General features: G+C 39.0%; 1 protein-coding gene across 14 annotated transcripts in view; it reads right to left on the bottom strand.

Annotated features, from left to right (window-relative positions):
- The window catches only part of MYO1B (myosin IB), a 179,983-nt gene that overhangs the window by 70,771 nt on the left and 84,463 nt on the right, over positions 1 to 24,749 (bottom strand). For all 14 annotated transcript variants that reach the window (XM_047444410.1, XM_047444412.1, XM_024452914.2 and 11 more), the window contains 4 exons: positions 24,587 to 24,681; positions 13,051 to 13,155; positions 8,334 to 8,380; positions 4,391 to 4,454 (listed from right to left, as the gene is read on the bottom strand). In XM_047444410.1, the coding sequence (XP_047300366.1) occupies positions 4,391 to 4,454; positions 8,334 to 8,380; positions 13,051 to 13,155; positions 24,587 to 24,681 (311 nt within the window). The remainder of the gene's footprint in view (positions 1 to 4,390; positions 4,455 to 8,333; positions 8,381 to 13,050; positions 13,156 to 24,586; positions 24,682 to 24,749) is intronic.

Genomic DNA, 24,749 nt, shown 5'->3' with positions numbered 1-24,749 from the left:
TGTCAGGCAGTGCAGCAAGAATAACTGGAACATAGACAAATCACAGCATTTGCCTCCATTCATAATTAGCAGAATTTCTTTTTTTCAAGCTGAACAAAGTCAGGAACAAGAGAACTCTGACTACCAATAATTTTGTTTGACTTTCTGGGATTTAGGAAAAGCATTCATTTAGAAGTATTTTTAAATGATTAGCACAGAATATTCAGACAAAATTTTCCAATAAAGCAGAAGCTTTATTTCTCAACAAAACTCTTAACTGTACATAATTACTTTTGTGATCATTCATTCATTCAACAAATATATATAAGGTGTTCGACATTATTATTATTATTATTATTATTATTATTATTATTATTATTTAAGACGGAGTCTTGCTCTATCACCCAGGCTGGAATGCAGTGGTGCAATCTCGTCTCACTGCAAACTCTGCCTCCCAGGTTCAAGTGATCCTACTGCCTCAGCCTCCCGAGTGGCTGGGATTACAGGTGTGTGCCACCACACCCAGCTAATTTTTGTATTTTTAGGAGAGACGGGGTTTCACCATGTTGATCAGGCTGGTCTTGAACTCCTGACCTCGTGATCCGCCTGCCTCGGCCTCCCAAAGTGCTGCGATTACAGGCATGAGCCATGGCACCCAGCCTATGTTTGACACTATTTTAGTTGCTGGTCACTCAGTAATGAACCAGACTAAGGCTCTATCCTTATAGAGCATGTATTTGGTGAAAGGCTAGAGACAATAAACAAATAACTATAGTGAAAAAAGCAAATATTTATTGAGTGCTCACTATGTACCAGGCACTATTACAAGTGCTTTAGATACTAATACATAATTTATACCTCAGGACAACCTATGCAATCAGTCCTATTGTTATTCTCATTTCAAAGTGAAGAAATGGAGGCACAGAGAATGAAGTAATTTGCCGTCTTTTGTTTAGACACTGGAAACCACATGATAAACCAACAAGAGTTGCAAAAGTAGGCTCACGGGTATGCCCCAAATAATGGATAAGGAAAAAAGAGCCTGCCCGTATTTGCACTTACACACCTGCTGTGTCAGGTATTACACTAGACTCTTGATAAGGTAATGTGAACAAGACGACCTGTCTAGTCCATAGTTCGCTCAGGTGTATGCACATCTGAAATAATAGTTTCTTCATAGCGTATATTTCTCTGTGCTATTCTTCTTCTAGAAGACAGAATCCCTTGCGACTTGTACCATATGTTCTCCACTGTCTAAACTGCCACCAAATGCCTGTGATGTTAATTTTAAAAACTAGTTTCCAAAAGCTTCCAGTTCATAACACTAGATGCAAAATCCCCAAATACAAAAACATAAATGTTATCAGACCAACAAACCTTAACAAACTAGGAGAAATATTATTTAACATCACCTAAACATTTGGATGTGCTTCTATATTTTATCTTCTCTATTGAAACAAATGTTTTACCATCTTCTATTTTAATACCTCTCTTAATGACACTAACCTCAGGGATATGTAGTTTTCAAGTGAGTCCCAGACTTAATTTGTCTCTTTTAGAAAAAGAGAGAGGAGTTACCGGGCTTTCCTTTCCACTTCCTGGGTACACAATTGGCTCAAGGGATATTGTGCCTTTTTCAAGGTTAAGAGTTTTAGCCAATGACAATCTATGCTTTCACTAAGCAGCTGCTGGAAAAGGAGGCAAAATATACTTCCTACAAAATGGCAAATTTTGTCTTCTTTTCTACGCTACAAGAAGCTAACTTTTAGCTTCTTTAGTTTGGAGAGAACACCAGTTGGTTTATCCATTGCTTTAAACTCCCTTCTGCCAGAAGGCAGCAACTCCCAGTGACCACCGATGAGTCAGTTCTCTATACAGGATGAAATTTCCTGCTCTTACCACTAATGTATTCCTTTTCTCTCCAAAGCAAAGGATACTCTTAAATACCAGGGTGTTCTCACTACCACAAATTTCAATATAATTTCACTGTGGGAACAAATGGTAACAAACACCATATGAACTCCATTCATGAAGATATATTAATCTTAATTGGAAAAGAACTGAGTGTTTAATATTTATTCTCCATGGATACTGCAAGAATCAGGGGACAAGAAGACATTTGTGCTTAGAACTTAAACTTCAAAATTTAAAACTGAAGTTATTTTCTAATCCTTATAATAATAAAATCATCCTGAATTATTTTCCTAAAATCCTCGAGTAATATTGATTAAATCATTCCAAAATGTTCAGCTATAAGTTCTGTAATGGAAATAGTAAACCTACTCTCATTTTTAAAAACAGTGTTTTATTAATTTTATAGCTAGAGTTAATTTGTCTTGTAAAAAGAAAGCACTAAAGGCTCATGAATATCATTCAGAATAAATATTAATCATTCCTTAAAATGGTGATCTTAAAACTGAGGCAAACCACTAGCTGGATAGCTCTGATCAGCTGCCATATATTGTAAAAAGAGTCTTCCTAACAAGTTTGGCAGGGGTTATAATCACTTGCCTTTGGTTACATCGTATGTGGTTTGCATGAGTACTTTTACTCCCATATTTTGTGTATGAAATCATTTAACTTAGGTAGCACTATCCCATTCAACTTCAATTCATATTAAAACTTTCTCTTCAAGGCATTTCTCTAATAATTAAACATTCTTATAAATATGGACAATCCGAACACATGGCATACAAAAGTGTGTAGGTGGGCAAACTAAAATGGAAACTTATTTATTTATTTATTTATTTTTGAGATGGGGTCTCACTCTGTCACCCAGGTTGGAGCGCAGTGGCTCAATCTTGGCTCACTGTAACCTCCAGCTCCCAGGCTCAAGTGATTTTCCTAAGTCAATCTCCTGAGCTGGAACCACAGGCATGCGCCATCACATCCGGCTAACTTTTGTATTTTTGGTAGAGACGGGGGGTTTCACATGTTGGCCAGGCTGGTCTCAAACTGATGAGCTCAGGTGATCCCCCTGCCTCAGTCTCCCAAAGTGCTGGGATTACAGGCATGAGCCATTGCGCCCAGCCAGAAGTTAAATTATTTAAGAACTACAGAATGCTGGAAATGGGAAGAACCATGGAATTCATCCAATTCAATCCTATCATTTTAAAGATGAGAAACCTCTAGCCCTAGATGGTTACTCTCTGAATCATGATTTAATTTTTTTTTTAAATCAGCTGCATAGTTTGACCAAATTACTAAATAATAATTTTCAAATGGCATTCTTCTGCTAGGGCTAGTCAGGAAGATCTCAGTGGCATCTGAGAGTGCCGGGATTCTGGGCTACCCATCTCCTCTTCAACCAGATCAGGTCTCATTTTACCCCGGTACCTTCTTTGGGGTTCAGCATAACATTTCCTTTGAAGACGAAATGCCACTGTTATAAGAAAAATAAATGAGCACACTTTGGATACTTCAGTCAACTTTCTTTTTTTTTTTTTTTAGGTCTAAACATAAATTTTTTCATTCTAACAATCCCAATAGCACCATGGGATGGTGAGGCAGGCAAGGGCAGGAGAAGGTTCAGTTCTATGGTCCTCAAAAAACCCAGAGGACTCAGAGGATAACCAGACTGTGGCTGAGGTGCACAAAGCCCTGAGTCATCATCTTACATTTTCCAAACTAATCAACCACGAGTCAAGAGGAGCAGGGACATCAGGGTTGTGCTGTGGGTGCCACAACTCCAAAGCACTGACAGCACTGTCATTTTTACAAGAGACACTGAAAACCCCGTGTGGCACTCATACACCCACTTTAGAAAACTCTGCACCTGGGCTAGAATGAGCAGACCTCATCTGATTGTGTTTTTTTTGTTTTTTTTTTTTAACTTTTCACATAAAATATTTCACTTCCACAGTCACAAATCATGTCTAAAGAAGGTTAAAAAATCTGTTTTACCTAACAAGTGTATCACATTCCAATCACTTAAATACACTGGAAGAGAAGCAACATTTCTCAAAATAAGACTGAAGTACAGGTCTACTCCTTTTATTGAATAAATATTACTTCAAAAGTTATAATTTAAAACCAATTATTTATATTTTTTTTATCATAAGCATTTTGTTAAAGAAAATAACCCTTAGAGGATCTTTTTTTCATACTGGATTGCCTTAAAGACCTATAGGATTTTAAAAAGACCTATAGAATATAAAAAACAGTAGCGCAAATATTTATTTAGCAAACTTCTAAAAAGTTTTTCCAAGGTAAAGATGTTAAGTGATCTTTAAAAAGATTTATAAATTACATTCTATTATAAAACAATCTGAAATGCAAAGCTTAAAGTCTAAATATAAAGCAAGGAAACATATTCTTATGCCTCAAAGACACAAGTATCTAAACTATTCTACTATAAATATATGTTTTAGTATTCTGAACTTCTTTACAAGGACTGAAGAAAAATACTCACAGTTACTTATTACTCCTCCTAGTGGATCGCCTTTAAAGTCAAATTCAATATCCATATATTTGCCCTGCCAAAGAAAGATTTTGTGAGTTTTCTAGTTCATCTCAAAATGTTAACTCAGTGTACTTCTTAGAGAACAGCAGACTAAGCCCTTATTTTTATACATTTGTTTAAATGTAACTAAGAAAGACACAGTTTATATAACCACGATGCAAAACAACATGCCTCCATAAATAATTCATACTAAATACCCCATTAGTTCAAAGCTAATATAACCCACTGCTAATTTAGGAACAAATCTTCTCAGCCATCATGTGATTTTTCCATTTAAGATTATTTTTCAAACTTCTGGAGGATATGTACTCAATTCAAAAATAAAAACAGAAGAAAAATAAGTTGTCTGTGTATACAGACTGGTTGGGAAGATAGTCTTTTTTTATTGGCAGAATATGTTTTAAGCCATTGCTAGGAACTTGAAACATATCAGTAAATGAATTGAAACGTTCAGAGATCTGTTTTTATATCTACTCAAATCAAATACAAGATTATGTGTTATGAACAGGTCAGAATCACACTGGTCATTATTACTGTTTTTGGCTTTTCACCCAGATTATAATAGCAATATATAACGCAGGTTCATTTTACACTTTATAGATAGTATCTTAAACACACAGAAACACACATAGAGTTTAATATTCTGATTGTTAAAAGAACTGGTCTATAATTGCCTAAAGAGTAACAAGTATAACAGAGTAACTGTGACAGCTGTTTCTTGTTTGGAAAAGTGTGTGTTGATCTAATAAGTAAAGTCTTTAGTTTTGTTTCATGTCCTAAGAATTACTTTAACTCATTAATTTTCAAAATGAGGGTAAGGGAGAAGAAATACAATCACATGGAACTCAGTCAACAATGCAATTTGTGCCTTTTTATCGGCTTATGCATGCTCCTGCACCTTCTCTTTTTTCATCATCATGGGTCCTCTACCCTTTTAGGTCTGCACTTATTCATAAGGATATGTCCCTCAACCATTTCCTTAAAGCTGAAGTAGGCACAAGCGAAAGCATGGCATGGCTCCTGCCTTCAAGGAGCTTACTGTCTAGCGGGGGAATTGAGACAGGTTAACTGGATATTCCAGTCTAGGAGGATATGTCCTACAGTGGGTCCTGGTGCTATGCCAAAGAAGCGGGAACAAAGGGAGAGTAGGAAATCTGCCCCATCTTAATTGCAAAGTATCAGCAGAAGTCAGGTGGGCAAGGAGGTGGGAGACCAGGAAGGAGTAGGCATAAGAATTGGCAACCGTGAGGATGAGTGGGAAACAAGGCTGGAGAGGGAAGTTGGAGCACATGATTACTTTGAGATATTCTCGTCACACCAAAGCCATGTCCTTAAAGGCTCCTAAACAAGGATGCCATGATCAAACCTGCCTATTTACAAGATTTCCCTGGCTAGCATGGAATGAACAGGAAAGAAGCAAGAGAAGATGTAGCTGACAGGAGGTGGCTACAGTGATTAGTGGAGAAATGTTGGTGGCTTTAAGTAGAAGTAGTCAAAGAGAAAAAGTAAACAGAATTGAGAGCTACCCGGAGAGTCACAGGAACAGGCCCAGGTTGGATGCAGGAGATGAGAGAGGAAAAAAAAAAGTCCAGTCATGTGGCCCAGGCCACTCAGTGTACAGGGAGGACCTCCAAGAAGGTGGGGGACCAAGGAGGTGAAGCAGCTACAAAGGAGGGAAAGAATGGTTACTCTGTCAAAGGAGTCAGAGGTTGACCATGTAAGAGGGGATCCTTTTGACAGAAGGTGGTCCCTGGCCACAGGAGGCGACAGAATCTAGAGCCTAGGTAAAAGGAGTGTACATAGACATACATATAGGTCAGGCACCAGGAAGCAGGATTAACTCAGTTTGAAGGCCTGTATGATGATGATGGTGATTTCTGTGAAGTAGGCGTAACATCATGAGCTGAGAGTAAAAAAATAGGATGTTTGAGGAGAGTAGAATAAACACTGGAGAGAATGGAAAAGGAAGACAACCAGGGATAAACCAATGAGTGGCCAGCCCTGAGAATTCAGTTGATAGTGGAATGACACTATTCCCACTAAGCCACTTCCTGATTACTCGCCAAAAGCTGGGTTCTGATCATGTCACTAGTCCACTCAGAAATAACTCGTAGCTCAATATGTCAAACTACAGCTGCTGTGGTGGGGAGCGGACACTGTGAGGCATCTCCATGGGAATACTGGTTCAAAATGTGAGCTACGATGAGCAAGCATTAACTACAACATAGCAGGGTCTATCAGACTACTCAGTGAAGAGGTCAAGGAATTCATTCCAGGTTAACCAGACCAACACAGACTGGTTTGCAAGTCGAAGACATTGCAATTTCCCCGGAGTACAAGTACATAAACCACTGTTAGGTACAGTAGTAACTTTAAATACAGTAGAGTCCTCCTATAAAATTAAAACATGGGTATATTACTAGTCAAGTCACAGACCACAAAGCAGAGAAACTGCTAAAAACTGGGCATGAAATGATTTAGCCCATAATCAGGTATTAATCTCATATCCTAATACCCGTGTTATAATAGGATTTCTCTGAAGTTACTTAATAAGCCAAATCACCTGCCAAGCCTTTCACTAGATTTCAAATATCACTGAGTAGTAATAGCCTTTTAAGCAATATGGGTTTTTACATTTTTGTGATCTATAGACTAAATATATTTGCAAATATTAAATACTGTGTGTGTATGTAATTTGCAAACAGCAAAAATAAAATCTCTATCACATAAAGAAGCTTGGTCATTAGAATTACTTCTATCGCCCACACTTCACTTCTAATTCTATTTATGTAATGAGATTAGCCATGTTACCACAACAGGAAAAGGCACAGATCAAATCAGTTATAACAACTTAAGGGGCTAATCTGATGGAAAAAATTCACAGCCTTGGAATTAGGAACCTTATTTAGCCTGCCATTTTCTAAACTATCAAAACTATCTCCCTTGAAGTCACTGTCCTGCCTTAAGCACAAAATAACCTTAAGGAGGAAAGAGCCAAACGGGATCTAAAAGAAGAAGGTGGAGAAAGGTCAGGAAGGGTCTCACATAAGGAGGCATAAAAGATCATCAAAATTGTCCCTGGTGGCAATCAGTAAGGTATGTGAGAAGACGGTTCATTAAACAAATGATCTTTTATTATAAAAATGTATACATCAATTTCAAAACACCACCATCAGACTCAATATTTCCTGCAGCTGCATCCAGGCAGCTGTGTCTCTGTAAAGGGTAGAGGCACCCAAGAGCATGGCCCGCCTGGAGGAGCCCACTGCGTCAACATGCAAGGCACAGGCCAGGGAGTAGTGGGGGATGAGGCTGGAAAGATGGACCCTGTAGGGAGAAGTAGCATTTTCCAACTCAATCAAGCTCAAAACACCAAATAGATTTGGTTTTTATTATTCAGTTCTACTCTACAGCCCCACGCTCACCCCACATGCTTGCTTTTGTTGCCAAGCCTATGGACTTTACCTCTATTAATTTTAAAATACATCCCATCCTTTCTGGACCCACTGAATAAGGGACAAGGGTTACGGTGCACCCTAACCCTAAACTTGAGACCCAGTTTATCTTTCTCTTAATTTCTGATTCTTGATTTCTAAATACCAAACTCAGATAAGCAAAGTGTTACTCTAAATAGCCTCATTTAAATTGCTTATGGGATTTTATGATAGAAGATGTCAAGAAAACATGATAAAAATTGCTTGTTACTCCAAAAAGAATTCAAAAGGAAAATTCCAGAAATCAAGAGTCCTTATAGAACTTTGTGTTTCAATAGAGATGATGTTCCTCTTATTTTAAAAATGTGTGTATTAAGAAATATTAAACATCTACTGGTTGTTTAAACATACATGAGCTAAATATTAGTGTTAACACTTATGCTTATACAAATACTTACAAATCTAGAGGAGTTGTCATTCCTTACAGTTTTGGCATTTCCAAAAGCTAGTAGGAAAGAAACAGATGTATGGTTAAAAAAATAATAATAATCTCAAGCAGAAAGATAAAGCAAATACAGTATTTGAAATCTATGATTTCTGGAAAATACAACTTGTAGCAATGATATTTCTGTCCAAAACTTCCATAGAAATATACTTAACAGAAGTCTTAGTAAGTTGCTAAAGCTTCCATGTCTTACAAGTTCATAGAAAAAGAGAATCATTCCTATGACTCATGGAATTTTTTCAAGTATTACTGTAAACTTAATCTTACCTAATTCAACACCTTTTAACACTTCTAGAGAGTAGTCAATTGAGTGACCAGGAAGCAAAGCTTCATGCTCTTCTAGGATTATCATCACTGAATAAGGTTATTTCAGAGATTACTTATTATCAAAGGCTTTATGGAACTTGAAGTTTCCAGATCATGGGGAATGGCATGTGAACCTTTAAATTGTTTAATTAATTTTAAAATAAAGCTATTTAAATATTATTAATTATATAGCTCTGGAATACAGGAAGAATAAGAGATTTGGAAACAACAGTCATTTCCAATAGGCTACAAGTGCTACATGGTTTCATCAGTTTATGCACATCAGACCTAGGTGAAACTTTCCAGACAACAAAGAAAAACAATTTGGCCCATAATGCAAAATACAAATGTTCCAATCTTAGCTGTTTCCTGGAGACAAATCCCTCACAGGACTCCCTTTTAAATGAGAGCGTTTAAGAACCCCATGGTTGACGCTGGTCCAGACACACAGTGCTCTTGTTTAACACAGGGAACAGCACGGAGTCATAGGGTAAAAGGATTGTTTCACCAAGCCTGTGCATAAGATAGGAGCAAGTTAACCTGGGCCATGGTAGTAGAAGATTAAGTAGCCTAAACATAAGTTGTATAAGTAGAGGCGATCCCTGTTTGACACTCTGGAAGCCCCACCCCGCCCATCTTTACCATTTCAAACTTTAATGTGCAAACTAACTACATGAGGATAAAGTGCAGACTCAGGTTCAATGGGTCTGGGAAGAGGCATGAGATCCTCCGTTTCTACCAAGCCTCCCACCTGCCCAGTCTGTTACTGGGATCCAGGGGCCACACGGCAGCTAGAATGAATAATGTGGTGAACAGAAATAAACTTCTGGAATCAGAGGCTAGGCATCAAATCTCTAGAGGTCTCCATAACTTCTTCAAATTAAACAGGGAGCAGATTAGACTACTGAGTGTTCAAATGAGAACTACGGGCTAAAATCTGGTCTGACTTTTGAAAGCAGTCAGAAGTCTCTGATCAAGGAGAGAGGGTGTGTGCTTACCTATGTTAACTCCGGTAATTCAGCAGCCACACTTGATGCATTATATTTTGTGTGGAGTGGCTTTTTCGTGTTTTTGATTCTTTTTTTTTTTTTTTTTTTTTTGAGACGGAGTCTCGCTCTGTCGCCCAGGCTGGAGTGCAGCGGCGGGATCTCGGCTCACTGCAAGCTCCGCCTCCCGGGTTCACGCCATTCTCCTGCCTCAGCCTCCCAAGTAGCTGGGACTACAGGCGCCCGCCACTACGCCCGGCTAATTTTTTGTATTTTTAGTAGAGACGGGGTTTCACCGTTTTAGCCGGGATGGTCTCGATCTCCTGACCTCGTGATCCACCCCCCTCGGCCTCCCAAAGTGCTGGGATTACAGGCGTGAGCCACCACGCCCGGCTGTGTTTTTGATTCTTAAAAAGATAGTTGCCCAAGCTTGGTTAAGACAACATTTACAAAGTCAACACAGGCAAAGTTCTTTGCCTTAGAGATGCTGCTTGGGCTGAGTATGGTTTGGTAGGTCCCTGGCAGCAAATTCTGTCTTCAACAGAAGATGAGCTGAAATGCTATACAGAATGAAGAAATTTGCACCTAAAAATATTCAAAAAAGGATGCTTGCTGGAGAGGTTCCCATTCTTATCTCATGTCCACCACCAGTTAAAAGGCTTTCATGAATGTAACCTTGATAATGGTGTGTATTGACCTAGTTATCATGAAGACGATGACATTTCTTGTGTTTTCACAGGCTAGTCTTTTGTGGTGGGTGTGAACATGCAGGGCTGCCAAGTTAGCTAACTTGCACAGCCCCAAGTCCGACTAGAGATGTTGATGCATAAAGGACAGTTTATTGTGGCTTGAAGGTCAGGGGCAAGTGAAGGAATTGCTTCAAAGAAACTTTATTCAGGGTGCTATTTGCAAGCCATAAACCATCTTTTCATCAAACAAATCTGAGTTGCACATTACTAAACACAACCCTAAACACTAAAGCCTTTTATTGTGAGCCACAGAATAAAAAGCAAGTGTTCCATTATAGAACACTTGAGACACATTCCTCAATTGGTTTTTTTAAAGTTCATTGTTCTAAATGTTCATTTACAGTAGCAGCTCCAGCTAAAAAGTAAAGCATTCCCATAAAAGATAATGCATGCCCACAGTAGACATTTCTTCTATTTCCTGCACTGGAGCCTAGTTCCAAATACCACTGAATAAAGAGCCAGATTCCAGTCACAGATGCAGGCTACAGCATTCCTCAGCATTTCTCCTTTACATCACAGCACTCTTAAAATAAACATATGCAGAAATACAGCAAATGTATAGCACCCCAACTTAAAAGCAAAAGACAATAAACAAAAAGTCAAATATTGGAACAATAAAATTGAGAGATATCGCTTTCCATAATAGCTTCGTTATTAAGATATTGCAATGGAGGAAAGATCAAAAACAGCATAATAGATGATTTGCCTTCATTTCTCTCTTATGCTACTAACTGGGGATACAGATGCATGGTGTGTCCTTGTAATGGTGAAACTGAAGCATGGGAAGTGTGTCTTGGGGTCACAGTGAATACTCAGTGTTCGGGAGCCTCTCTGAAAGGGCAGGAGAGGCTGAGCCTGAGTACAAACGACAACAGGGCAGGGTTTTAACCCTTCATACTGGGAAAAAACTACCCCAAAGCAGTTCTGCTTTAATCCGTGTTGAATCTCATCCTTCCATGACTTTACTTCTATGACTTGAACCAAAAGTTTCCACCAAACTACCTATCTAGCCTAGAGATTCTAATCAAGGGTGGTTCTGACTCCCTAGGGGACATCTGACAATGTCTGGAGATACTTTCAACTGTAACAACTAGGGGCAGGGGTGCAACTGGCAGCTAACAGAGGTCAGAGATGCACAGGACAGGCCATCCTACAATGCACAGGACACCCTTCCACAGCAACATGTAAGCAGTCCAACACTGCTGAGGCTGAGAAACCTTACTCCACCATAACAAATATGTTAAGTGACAGTAAAGACATGCTTACAATATAAAGCATTTTTTTTTTTGAGACAGAGTCTCCCTCTGTCGCTTACAATATAAAACAAGTTTTTTTTCTTTGTTTGTTTGAGACAGAGTCTTCCTCTGTTGCCCAGGCTGGAGTGCAGTGGTGTGACCTTGGCTCACTGCAAACTCCACCTCCCAGACTCAAGCGATTCTCATGTTTCAACCTCCCAAGTAGCTGGGATTACAGGCATGTGCCACCACGCCCAGCTAATTTTTGTATTTTTAGTAGAGAAGGGGTTTCATCACGTTGGCAAGGCTGGTCTCGAACTCCTGGCCTCAAGTGATCCACCCGCCTTGGCCTCCCAAAGAGCTGGGATTACAGGTGTGAGCCACTGTGCCCAGCCATAAAGCAGTTTAATAGCTTGCCATCAGTAGGGAAAGACTTTGATATACTGTTTCCAATGCCAAGGTAGTTCATACTGATGTTGTATGCCATTCTCCATGGCATTAAGGAAACTCATTTCTGGTTTTGTTTTCTGATGATGTTATGGGCTGAATGCTTATCTCCCTGCAAAATTCATATGTTGAAGCCCTAACCCTCAAAAAGCTAGTATTAGGAGGTGGGGCTTGTGGGAAGGAATCAAGGTGAGATGTGGTCATGACGGGTGAGGCCCTCAAGATGGAACTGGTGGTCTTATGAGAAGAGATTCCAGAGAGCTTGCTCTCACCTCTCCCCACTCAAGCACAGTGAAAAGGTCAAGTGAGCATACAGCAAGATGGCAGCCACCTACAAGCCAAGAAAAGAGGCCTCAGAATAAAATCTACCTGGACAACAGCTTGATCTTGAACTTCTAGCCTCTAGAGGTTTGAGAAAATAAGTTTCTGTTGTTGAAGCCACCTAGTCTGTGTACTTTGTTATGGCAGCCCAAGCTAAGACAGAGAACTAAATAGAGAATTTGAGCACTCTCCAGTCAGGTTTAGGCTTTCTATGACTCTGGAAAAAATGAGTCCTTAAGTGTTTCTCGGGGTGAGCCCTCATTTCTCTAACAACAAAAATAATCAGCCACAGGTGTTATCCTGAATAATAAAACAGCACTGCACCATCATATGCAAATGATCAGTTGATTATTTTTAATCAAAATTTAAAGAATTCAAATAAAAATTGAGTGGGGAAAAGTGACTGTTAAGTGAGGAAGCCCATTTTACATTAGTAAACTATTCTGCTAAACACTTAGGCCAAGAGGTTCTAGAACACGGCTTATTTGCTCAGCAGGTCTTGGCCTGAATCTCTTCCTTCCTCTTCCCTCCCAGAATACCTCCCAGCAGACCAGGTACTCAAAGCACCCACATAACTCAATCTACTGTTTGAGTCACACCGACTTAATGAACATAACACATCCTACCTTCCAGGACCGGGTTGGACTGTAAAAGCTGTTCTTTAACTTGATTAACTTCTGCTCCTTTTCCACAAACAGCTGCCACATAGGACATGACAAGCTTACTGGCCTCTGTGGATGAAAATAAGCCATATTAATCAATAACACAGAAATTTAAAAAATCTTTTTGGGGAGGAGGAAATGTGGGAGAAGACCCACTAACGGCATTTTCAAATGTCTTTATTCCTAGAGGAGTAAATAATGTTTTGGATACCTTTCTAAAATATTTGTGCTTTCTATTCAGTGACATGTCATTAATTCAGACATAATAAAAACTGTGCTTAAAGTTTATCACTGGGCTGTTAAAAAAACTGCTTAGTAACATGACCAACAAAATATCAGAATTATCTTCTTAAAGCAATCATTTATATATAATTATTATATTATATACTGATAAGCCACAAATAACTTGATAACCTGGGTATCTTTACCAAACGTATTTTTAAAGTTTAAAAGACTGCTCTTCTTCAAAGATATGTTCCAAATCACAAGTTCCAAGTCGTTTGCTCGGCCAGGCACAGTGGCTCCCGCCTGTAATCCCAGCAACTTTGGGAGGCTGAGGTGGGCGGATCATGAGGTCACGAGGTTGAGACCAGCCTGGCTGATATGGTGAAACCCTGTCTCTTCTAAAATACAAAAATAAGCCGGGCATGGTGGCACGTGCCTGTAGTCCCAACTACTTGGGAGGCTGAGGCAGAAGGAGTGCTTGAACCCGGGAGGTGGAGGTTGCAGTGAGCTGAGATCGCACCACTGCACTCCAGCCTTGGCAACAGAGCAAGACTCTGTCTCAAAAAAAAAAACACCAAAAACCAAAAAACTGGTTTGCTCATAATTAGACCAAATTCATTATTCTTCAACTTAATTCAAAAACTAAGCAGCCAATGTAAGGATTTAATAACAAAAAAACGCAGCCTTTTCCAGACATGGTAGTCTTAATAGGCTTCACTAGTAACCCCGTTACTAAAGCTGCTAAAGAATAGGCCACATGAGGCAAAGGATAAAACCACCTAAAAATTTTTTAGCTCAAACTGGGGACTAAACATGTCTTTGGTGGTTTTATCCCTTCCCTATCAGTCCGTGTCCCCTCTCTCGGCATCTGCCTCCTAGCTTCTGATTCTTTTAACACTAAGTTTCAAGAAATGTTAATAGATATTTAAGGAAAATAAGGTCCAAAGTGGATGTGGAGCTACAGTGAGTCAGATGCAGTGAAACCACTTTCATTATCAAAAGGCTTCTCAGAGCTTTTAATATGATCGCGTGCACTGCTGAACTCTAAAAAAGGATCTAGAATGCTGTTTCCCTAATTTATTTTCTATGGAATCTGTTTTCCATTGATTGGGCTGTCCTAATTAGTTGTTCTAATGTTCCGTAACTGGGACCCAGAAAATGCTTGACTATTTTATGTTGGCAGAAGAAAACATATTCCCTGGTCTGGGTAGTTAAGGTAAGGAAACCAGTCTCTCCACATCCTGCTTTGTCTCAAGTCTTTGCTCTACTGCCACTGTCAGTGGGCAGGTGAGCCTCCTCCAAGTTGGAGGGTCTCTCTGCCTACAGGTATAATGAGGCAATCTTAACTGTCTCACAGGAGACCTGCAGGTGGATTCCAGTCCCATCTCCCACCATTGGGAAAATAATACGTGAAAAATTGGAATGCCACTTTGAGCACACTGCCCAACGTATTCCTGAGGGCTTTTGCGCAACCTAAAAGCATCAACCAATAGGAGCCACTGAAGACCAAGAATCTATGCAGGTCACATAAAGCTCTCAAGTCCTAAGATGTCTGTTTCTGGAGTACTGGCAAATACATTAAGGGGGAAGTAAACAATCTCATGGAGCACAGAACTATGGTGGGACATTAGGTGCTTCTTCAATGGTTGGAGGTAACTCTCTCCAATTTGCTTTCTGGGTAATGAAAAGGAATCCAAATAGGTTGTCTGGTCATCTGTGTGGTTGATTTCTGCTGTCTCCCTTTAAAGACTGTAACTGAGAAACAACCATCTTTCCACCTTTGCAATACCGTTCTTTTACAGGGCACTTACTGTCCACATAACACAACCACCAACATTTAAAGTTCCTCAACTACATTTTCCATTATTCTCATGGTTTATCTAGAAAAAAGCTGGTGAATTATACATAGATAATCCTGTTACACCATTCAGGCTGTCCTGAGCCATCACTTACAGACAAAGACTTTATATACTATTATATTTCATTTCACTCCTGGGGGCCACATTGCCCTCTACCCTCTAGTCCAAGGTATAGCTCTTCCCTGCTCACTTCAGGATACTTTCTAGGCTCTCTGCCTTTCAATTTCAATTCAGGTGAGGCTGCCCTCCTAGCAGGTTCCTAACATCCGGTGCTATCTAGTCTCCAGCACTGGGGCAGCTCTCTTCAATCACCCAGGCATCCAACTCTGTAGTCTGGCCTTGGAAGCAATCCCCTCCAGGCCTGCTTTCTCATGTTTCTGCTTTCTCAGTGGCATTCTTTGTTCCCCATCCCCACCTGAACTCTCACATATATTATGTATATGTTTCTTTCTTGACATAAATTTCTGGCCTATCTATCCATCGTAATACTAGGAGACTGAAAACATTTATCAGCAAAATAACTGTCTTAGACAGTGGCAAATATACAAACATACTAATGCACACACACACAAATACACACTCACACATTTTAGATGAAAAGGTAAGTTTTCTTTTAGGTAAACTGACCAAAAATATATAAAGTTTAGGTCAGGCTCTTTTGTTATTCTGGTAATTATGGACCTTACTGTGGCCAAACTTCAAAACCTCAAAATTCAGATTCACGGCTACATTGAGTCCTCTGAAAACCTGTTCTGGTCCAGGATGAACTTAGAGGACAACTGCTTTAGCAGGGTGGTGGTGGGGGGAAAATCAACCAAGAATGAGAATCTTTTGGTGGCTACTAGAATTGATTTGACCTCTCAGAGACCTTTTTAATGGCCAGAACAAGATGGGATCAAGTTCTCTCAGGGTCAAATGTGTTTGAAAATGGCACCAGGAGCAGATCTCCTGGAATTTGGGTCAGGCTTACATCACTTGGCTGTTAAAGTATATATAAACCCATAATATCTCCTGGCATATAAAGATGGATTCATTTAAACTGAAATTAAGAATCACTTTATTAACTTTAAAACCTATTTAAGCAATTCAAATAAAATTTTAAAATATAGTTTGAGAATAAAGTTCAAGCTGTTTTAATAATTTATTTCCAAGTTGTTAAAAATATCTTCAGATTCTTAACTATTTTCAAGAATTCTACTACTGGGCTCATCTTAATAAGTCATTTTTGGAAGCTGGTATTAGTATTTTCTCCAAAAAAAAAAATCACACTATTTAAAAGAGACAACTCTTATAATTTTTTTTTTCCTGACATATACTTGACCTTTAACTCAAGTACTTCATTACACAGGCACTACTTTAGAGAAATTAATAAACCAGTAAGGATGAATTACAAGGTCCAACATACTTTAAGGAACTGTTTTCATAATATTTCACCACGCTGGAAACTGGAAATAATAGTTACCTCATGAGACTTTGTGCTTCATTTCCTTTTGACTCTTTGGTGCTAAAGTTCAAATAAATTTGGATCTGTATTCAAATATTTATATACTTATACAAATCAAACCTTTACATAATAACCTCTATAATGAAAAACTGCATTTCTGAGGAGAATCAAAAATGGAGTATCATCCACCATATTTCAAAGTCTGGTTTTTGAATTATGTTGACTGTTAAATATAAGAATATTGTCATTTAAAATAGACAAAATGTAACAGCATTGTTTAGAATCAATTCTTGGTTCATCACTTTCTCTAACTCATAGATACTTTATATATGTAAACTTACGTACATATATATATATATGTTTGAATGTAACTTGAATCTTAAAATTCATCAACAGCTGGACTAACAAAATATATGAAGCCTCTGGGGTCAAAATCTCTTCTCATCAGAAAATGGCAGAACATTTAGGGTTAACACATATTCCTCACTAATGGACAAAGGGCCTGTTACAAAATACTTCTGGATCAGAATATCTAGATCAGAATTAATTTCTACAAACAATGGAAAGGAAGTACAGATGACAGTTTAAATGTGTGAGGATTTTAAAGTCCTGTAAGGGTAAGAATAACTAATTGAATTCTGTATTCTCTGACACCTTGCACTGTACTGTGAATAATATGTATTATCATGTAATTATCACACAACATAGAATTATATAAATTCATATATAATAATCTTTTTAATGAAATAAAGCATTGTGAAGTAGCGGAAGGTGAATGAGGAAGGGAAAACAATTCAAGGAAAGACAATTGTCATGATGACAAAAGGATGGGAATCTCATGCCTAAGATACCTAAACCTATCTATGTTAATGGAGCAGGCTCCACATGGATTCAATCACTGCATTGGGGGAAAAAAGGCTTGAGAATAGGCAAGGATTATTGTGCACTTTTTTCACAGAGCTTCTAATAAATTTATCCAGGAGTAACAGGTCTCTATGGATAAATTCATAGATATAGGCAATATCATGTATGTCGCATATTGATCTACAGGTCATATGGCATATAGAGAGGGCCATACATTTATTCGTACACATTTATTTATCTCCTTCTTTACCTCTCTATCTCTCTAGTTAAGACACCAAAGTTTTTCTAGGAATTGAGCTTTTGTAGGTCTGGTGGTTCAGAGCCCTAGACCAGAGTTTAGGGCTAAAGAGTGAATGCCTAAATCAATGAGGCCATGTTTGTGTTCAACAAAACAAGCACTCTACAGCTTGGAGAAACCACCTTTTAGCAGTCTGGAGTCTACTGTGCTGCAAAATAACCCAGCTCCCGCACATCCAAATGGATCTAACAGGCAGCAGTGAAGTGTTCCAGAGTACTAAATGCATGGGCCCTGCAATGAGAGACGCAGCCTTTGTTACAAGGGAAGTCACAACTGGTGATGTTTTTATTGAAATAAGCCTGTATGTCATCCTCTTCTGAAAGAGGGCCACAAAATCTCTGATAATTTATATTAAACACACGGATGGAGAGGGGTCTTTCTCACACAGGGGAAAAACAAAACAAAAGCTCACTACATTTTGGCCTTGACTTCACTTATCTATTCTGCTTCAGTGTGGGTATTTTCAACACTGTGAAATGCTCGCCAATGTTTAGGCTACAGTAAGTCAGTGGCATCTCTGTCACTGTCCAGTTGGAGAACCACTGCAGATACATAAGGTCATTTGGGGTTTAGAACCAAAGGTCTTAATGAGCAAGGCAGGCTTCATAACTCTTCTAGCAGATGGCTGAAGAGTTCCTAGAAACTGATGTAACTGTAAAATTAGAAACCAAATAATTATGTTTCCTAACGTTGGGATCATCTTCTCAGGCCCAGAGATTTACTCTGATGTCCTTGGAAAAATGTAGTTTTGATGGTTCCCTCATATTCTGCCCCCCTGCCCCCATCAGTGCTTGAAAGGTTCTCCACAAACCATCTGTATTCATGGGAGTGAGTTGTGAGTTCAATGCCTAAAAATACATGGGCACTTTTATGAGGTCTGATGAATTTTTCATTTAGCACAGCAGTAATGAATTAAATAGCACCCCAAAGGACTCAAAAGAGTTCACGCCTCTCCCTAAGTGCCCATGTTACATAACTCCGCAGCTTAAGAGTGTCTCCAATGTTTAAGACCAATAACATCATCATCTGCCAAGGAGGGTTTATGACCCAGTTAAGTTAATTACTTCTTATAAAATAAGCCCTCTAATACTACATGGTGGTTCTATACAAACTATTAAGTAAAGACTTTTATTGAAAGGAGATATTATATGTCAAGCACACAGCACATTCCAGGCCTTCAATAAATGTTAATCATCTTCTTTCATTTATTTACTAAATCAAAATTTTTAATGAACACATGTACACAAAAACAATTTTAGTGCATAAGATGATATGACATTTCAAAATGGCCTGGCATCCCTCTTCTGCTCAAAACTGAGATGAAACCCCCACTCCAAATTCCTTGTACAACTATATACTGAAATTTCTATATTATCTTCCATCATTTTATTTTCCTGTAAGTAATCTCCATAAAACAGAGACTTTAAACAACACACAATATTCTTGGCTTTACTCAATTTGATAGACTAAAGACAATTAAAACCGTCATAAAATATTAAGCAGTTTTTGTACCACTGCTTTAAAAAAGAAAGAAAATAGAGTAAGTCAGCAAACCACTGTATGTCTACAGTGGACTGAGAGGTAGGAGAAGCTGTTGGGTTCCATAAGTGAAAAGGACTCAAGGGCTAGGTGCTACCAAGCATGTAGCTAAGTGGGTATTCAAAATGAACCACTCTCAGGAGCGGTATCCACCTCCCGGCTCCAGGCGTCTTAGTGATAACAGACAGCTGAAGCACCCAAGACGATAGTTCATCACAGGGTCCAAGAAGCACAGTAGCTCAAAAACAACACAAATGCTTTGAGTGACTTCTAGGCAGTGTTACTCGAAGTATGGTCCAAGGACCAGCACGACTCCAAGTTGGTCAATCCACAGACTATTAAGTGATCTACACATGCAAGTAGGCTTTTAAAAGCTTCTGTACTAATTTGGTTGCTTGTTTTGCCTGTTGAAACTAAAAGAAAAAATTAAGGTTTAAATGCTCTATTTTGTCTATTATTTCATTTTTCTAGTAATGATGAACATGAGATTTGGAACTGGTGCTTCACCACAGATTTGAGAAGCAATGCTCTAGCGTCTCTGTTGGACCCTCCTCCAGCCTCCTCCCTGAAGCAGCACCTAATTCTATGTGCTGTAAACACAATGGCACTACCAGAGGAAAGGGTGACAAGCCCTGGGAAGCGCTGTCCATTTTCCAGCTTCTGATAAAGGGCAACAGGATCCCCAGAAGGACTAAATCCAGGGAAGATGACAAGGAGAAGAGGATTTCAAGTGGTGATTTGGGCACTGAAACCAATAGAACAAATTGTCAAGCAGAAAAATAACAAGAGAAAACTATAAAAAAGAAGAATGAACTCCATTTTACTACTAGAGTTCTACCAGAGAAATAGGGTGGTAGTTATTTTTTTTCCTAAGAAAAATGGATGCCAATCCTCTGAAACAGCACTAGCAACCTCCACTCAGTTTTTCAGTAAGGAAGATACATGAGCCCATCAGGAGATGGAATCTGGCTCCAGGAGGAAGTAGTAGTGTTAAGAACTCTCTGAGAAGGCGGATGTCACATACTGACATAGCTAATTAGTGGACGTGCTGTCTTCTCAGAACACATGTTCCAGAGGAGATGAAGAACTGGCCAAGACCCATCAAAACAATGACCGCAACCCACTTCTGATGACTCATTTAGGAACGAATTGATACAATTAGAATATCCTAAAAAAAAAAAAACCGTTAGTCACAAAGAAGGCTGACTAAAAAGCTAAAGAATGTAAGAATGAAAGAGGCTTAGGAATATTTTCTTTTCTTCTTCCAAGTGAAAATAAAAATGAAGCAATATGAAGTGAATATGTGTGCTTGTAGATAGAGTCAAATAGGATGGGGGGAGGGGTGGGCGTAGATACAGCATCAGTACAGATGCCTTCAGCAAGGAACAGAGTTTCTAACTTGCCTTGCCACCATTTTCATTTGTCAACCTAGAGACAAACAAGAAGCTGTACTGCTTCTAAGAATTAAATTCTGTTTCACCTGAAAGAACTGGTTAGTGACATGGAAGGGGTAAAAACATTTTCTCAAGATGCCCATGTCCTGTAAAGTTTCCCACAGGTTAAGAGACAGAGACAGAGGCAGAGACAGAGAGAGATAAAGAGAGAGAGAGAGATTTGAACAAGCAAAGACTGGGGTCTGTAAAATGGAATTAGGGGTAATCAAGAGAGAAAGGAGAGAAACCCATTAGACACTGCTACAAATAATCCTCATGAGAGATAATGGGTGGTGGCTTGTGAGTCTCCATGTGGACAAAAAGAAAAGGAAGAGAGAGCCTGGTATGAGATATATTCTAGAGCCAGAACTGACAAAATTAGGAAAGGGATTTGATATGGGAAATACAGGAAAGGAAGAAATCAAGGATAACAAACATTTCTAGTGTGATAACTAGGTTGACTAGTGGTCTCATTTATTGAGATCAGAAAGATTGGTTATAAGAGGGTAAAGAGAGAAATCAAGAGTTCCATTTTGTACATGCTTAGTCTGAGATGCATGTTAGACCCCAAGTAGAGATGTCAGACAGGCAGTAAATACATAGCTGGGAGATCAGCCAAGAGGTATTTTCACTAGCAGTGTAAATGTAGAACACATTAACGTTACTGGAAAATAGTTGAGACTGCCTAAGGAAAAAAATGGAGAAAGATAAAGATACCCAGAACTAAGCAAATCAACTAATTTTTAGTAAGATAGACATATTTTAAATGAGACCTGGCAATTTTCATATGGATCAGTCTTTGGCCCAGTCCTATTCAGTGTTTTTGTCAATTACTTAAATAAAGACAGGAGGCTGGCTCCTTGGATTAGTACATGATGTTCATTCAATTATTTAAATATGTACTGACTACCTACTGTATGGCAGCCATTAAATTAGGTAGTAGAAACATAATACAAAATCCCTCCCTTAAGAAGACATGGGAGGCTAGTTGAAGGAGACTTACCAACATGGGCAAAGTAGTGTGGCACTCGGAAAGAATCATGTTCAAGAACTACTCTGTACCATGTTCAAGGTACAGAGATGCAGCTTAGTACAGTGGATAAAAGCAGGGACTCTATAACTACACTACCTGCATTCAAAATCCCAGCTCTGCCACTTATTCACTGTATAAGTTTTGGCAAATTGCTTAATGTTTCCGTGTTCCTATTTTCCCATCATAAAAACTGAAATAACAAAAATACTTATCTCATACATGTAAATAAGCACACCGCCCAGCACGTGATAAGTGCTGAACGTGGGTTAGCTAGTATCATTATCACCCAGCAAAATGACAGCAATCCTAAGGGAAGGGAAAGCATCAGGATTTGTCAGCTTCTCAAGAGGTTGTAACAATGGACCAAAATTAATAAAAATAAATACAATATTCTGCATGTAAGTTTAAAATAATTTTGTTCATCAATAGTTGATTGAGCAGATCTGACCTAATGGAAGTTACTGTGAAAAAAAAAAAAATCCTATAATATCTTACTTGGTTTAAAGACCAGTATGAGTCAATACATGCTTTATATTAATAGAAGCTCAGAGTCCACATTAAGAGGGATAATAGGCCAGGCATGGTGGCTCGCGCCTGTAATCCCAGCACTTTGGGAGGCCAAGGTGGGTGGATCACCTGAGGTCAGGAGCTCAAGACCAGCCTGGCCAACATGGTGAAACCCCATCTCTACTAAAAATACAAAAATTAGCCGGGCGTGGTGGTGGGCACCTGTAATCCCAGCTACTTGGGAGGCTGAGCCAGGAGAATCACTTGAACCCAGAGGGTGGAGGTTGCAGTGAGCCAAGATCGCGCCATTGCACTCCAGCCAGGGCTATAAGAGCGAGACTCTGTCTCAAAAAGAAAAAGGATAAGAGTTCCACTACAACCAGGACCAAATCTCAAGTATTCTGTTTATTTTTTGGTATGCAATTTCATGAAGCATATTGACAAATTAGGATGTTTCCAGAACAACAGGACCAAGATAATGAGAGATTTGTAAGATCCAATTCTTCCTGTAATGTGCTCTCATAAGCACCATGTGATTTTCCTTCACTCCACTTATGTTTTGCATGTAATTTGGATGTATAGGTACGTGCATATATGTCTATGTAAAGAGCTATTGTTTATCTCCCCTACTAAACGAAATGTGATAAGGGCAAGGACAGTCCCTAGTATAGTACCTTTCACTAAGTTGGTATTCAATAATTTTTTTTCTGGATGAATGAATTAAATCAATGTGTATAAAATGAGAAAATTTGAAGAAAAGGGATTTTTAGCCCTAGAAAGATAAAATGTTGACTTCAAATAACTAAGTGATTGTCCTGTAGAGGAGAAGGAAGACAAATATGGTAAAGTTCCAGGTAGCAGACTGAAGACAAATAGGTAGAGGCAGAATTGAACTCTAGGTAAGGAAGAATTTTGTTAGCTGAACCTGTACAACAAATCCAGGGGGGTGCCATTCAAAGTGGTGAGACTTCATCACTTCAAAAGGAGTTTGGCTGTCCCATGTGGAGGAGCCTACACCAGGTGGTTTATAACTAAAATCCCTTCAACAATATGACACCATGTTTTCTGTTACCTAAGGCTCTTACATGCCAGTCCTTTTCCCTTCATTTCTGACCACCTAGAGCCTAGAACTTGGCTAGCCCTGCAAAACAATGGTGCTCGGTGTCTCCAAAGAGCTCAAGAAAGGGGGCTGGACACATTCATCTAACCACTCTTTCTTCAGCTGCATGGGGTGCAGGGAGGAGTTACGCCTAAGGCAAGTGGAGTAAAGAGTAGGTGTAGAAGGAAAACCATTTCGATGTAGATAGTGAGCCTTTCAAGGCACAAATATTTCTAAGAGCTTGTGAATAAAATGGATTCAGTCAGTTGACTCAACACCTATGGCAGATTTTCTTCTCTTGATCAATGGGAACTCAAAATGTGTAAATGTTACAACTAACCAGCCATGTAGAATAGAAACATTTAAAATTCCACCTTTGAATACTAAAATAATTGACCAATTATCATATTCTTATCTATAAAACAAAAGCATTTTACAGATGAAACTTTACGAAAATACCATCTCCCTCACCATCTTCCTCCTCCACAGACTCATCAGTTCCATCAAAAAAAACCCACTGATAACAGCAGCTTTAAACGTTTCTAAGGTTGAATTCAGAGAATGTGGCTCTTCTGAATCTTTTCCAGGTAGCTGGGCACCATCTGTAAAGTTATTTTCTCACTCAAGACCACCAATCATATGAATTGCATTTATTAAAAGCACAAGGGGAAAAAAGCATAACCCTTCCATTTGGAGGGTTTTTTTATGCGAAGCTTGCCAGGTCTAAAAAATACATATAAAAATCTCAATTCTTCAGGCTTCAGAGGAAAACTCTTGAGTAAAATGTTAGCATTTTTCTGGTATCTTCCCTCACTTTTTAGCAAAGGTAGAGTGTGTTTGTACCCTCTTAAAACCTAAATAAATTGGCATTCTTGGGGAAGCAGTTTGAATCTGTAACAGCACACAGGTTTAATGTCTTGGGAGAAAAGTAAAAAGATCTTGCACCATCCAGAGACTACGCTAAAAAGGTCTAGAATCCGGCACTAGACTTCATATTGGTTGGAATCCCCTTGGATAGGCATCTTGTTTCTCTGGGGAGTCCAGAGAACATTCTGTGTTCCTAACCAGTATCCTCCTGCAGAAGCACCCTCACAGTGGCCCTGCGACAGATCTTGCTAAGGAGGCCCTACTGGTCCTCTTTGCTGTTGTCATTCTGTGCAGCATTTACCTTCTGCAGAGTTGCTTGGTAGGAGCCTTACCTGTTTTTCCTGCTCCACTTTCCCCAGTAATGAGAATACATTGGTCCTTATCTTGATCTCGTAGGGATCTGTATGCTTCATCCGAAAGGGCAAAGCTGCAGGGGATAATGGAAAAAAATTCCTTAGACTTCAGATCATTATTATGTGTTTATCAGATGGAACT

The sequence above is a fragment of the Homo sapiens genome, chromosome 2 (genome assembly GCF_000001405.40).
Source record: "Homo sapiens chromosome 2, GRCh38.p14 Primary Assembly".
Lineage (NCBI taxonomy): Eukaryota > Metazoa > Chordata > Mammalia > Primates > Hominidae > Homo > Homo sapiens.
The sequence above is the reverse complement of the archived record's forward strand: the minus strand, read 5'-3'. Positions and strand labels throughout refer to the sequence as shown.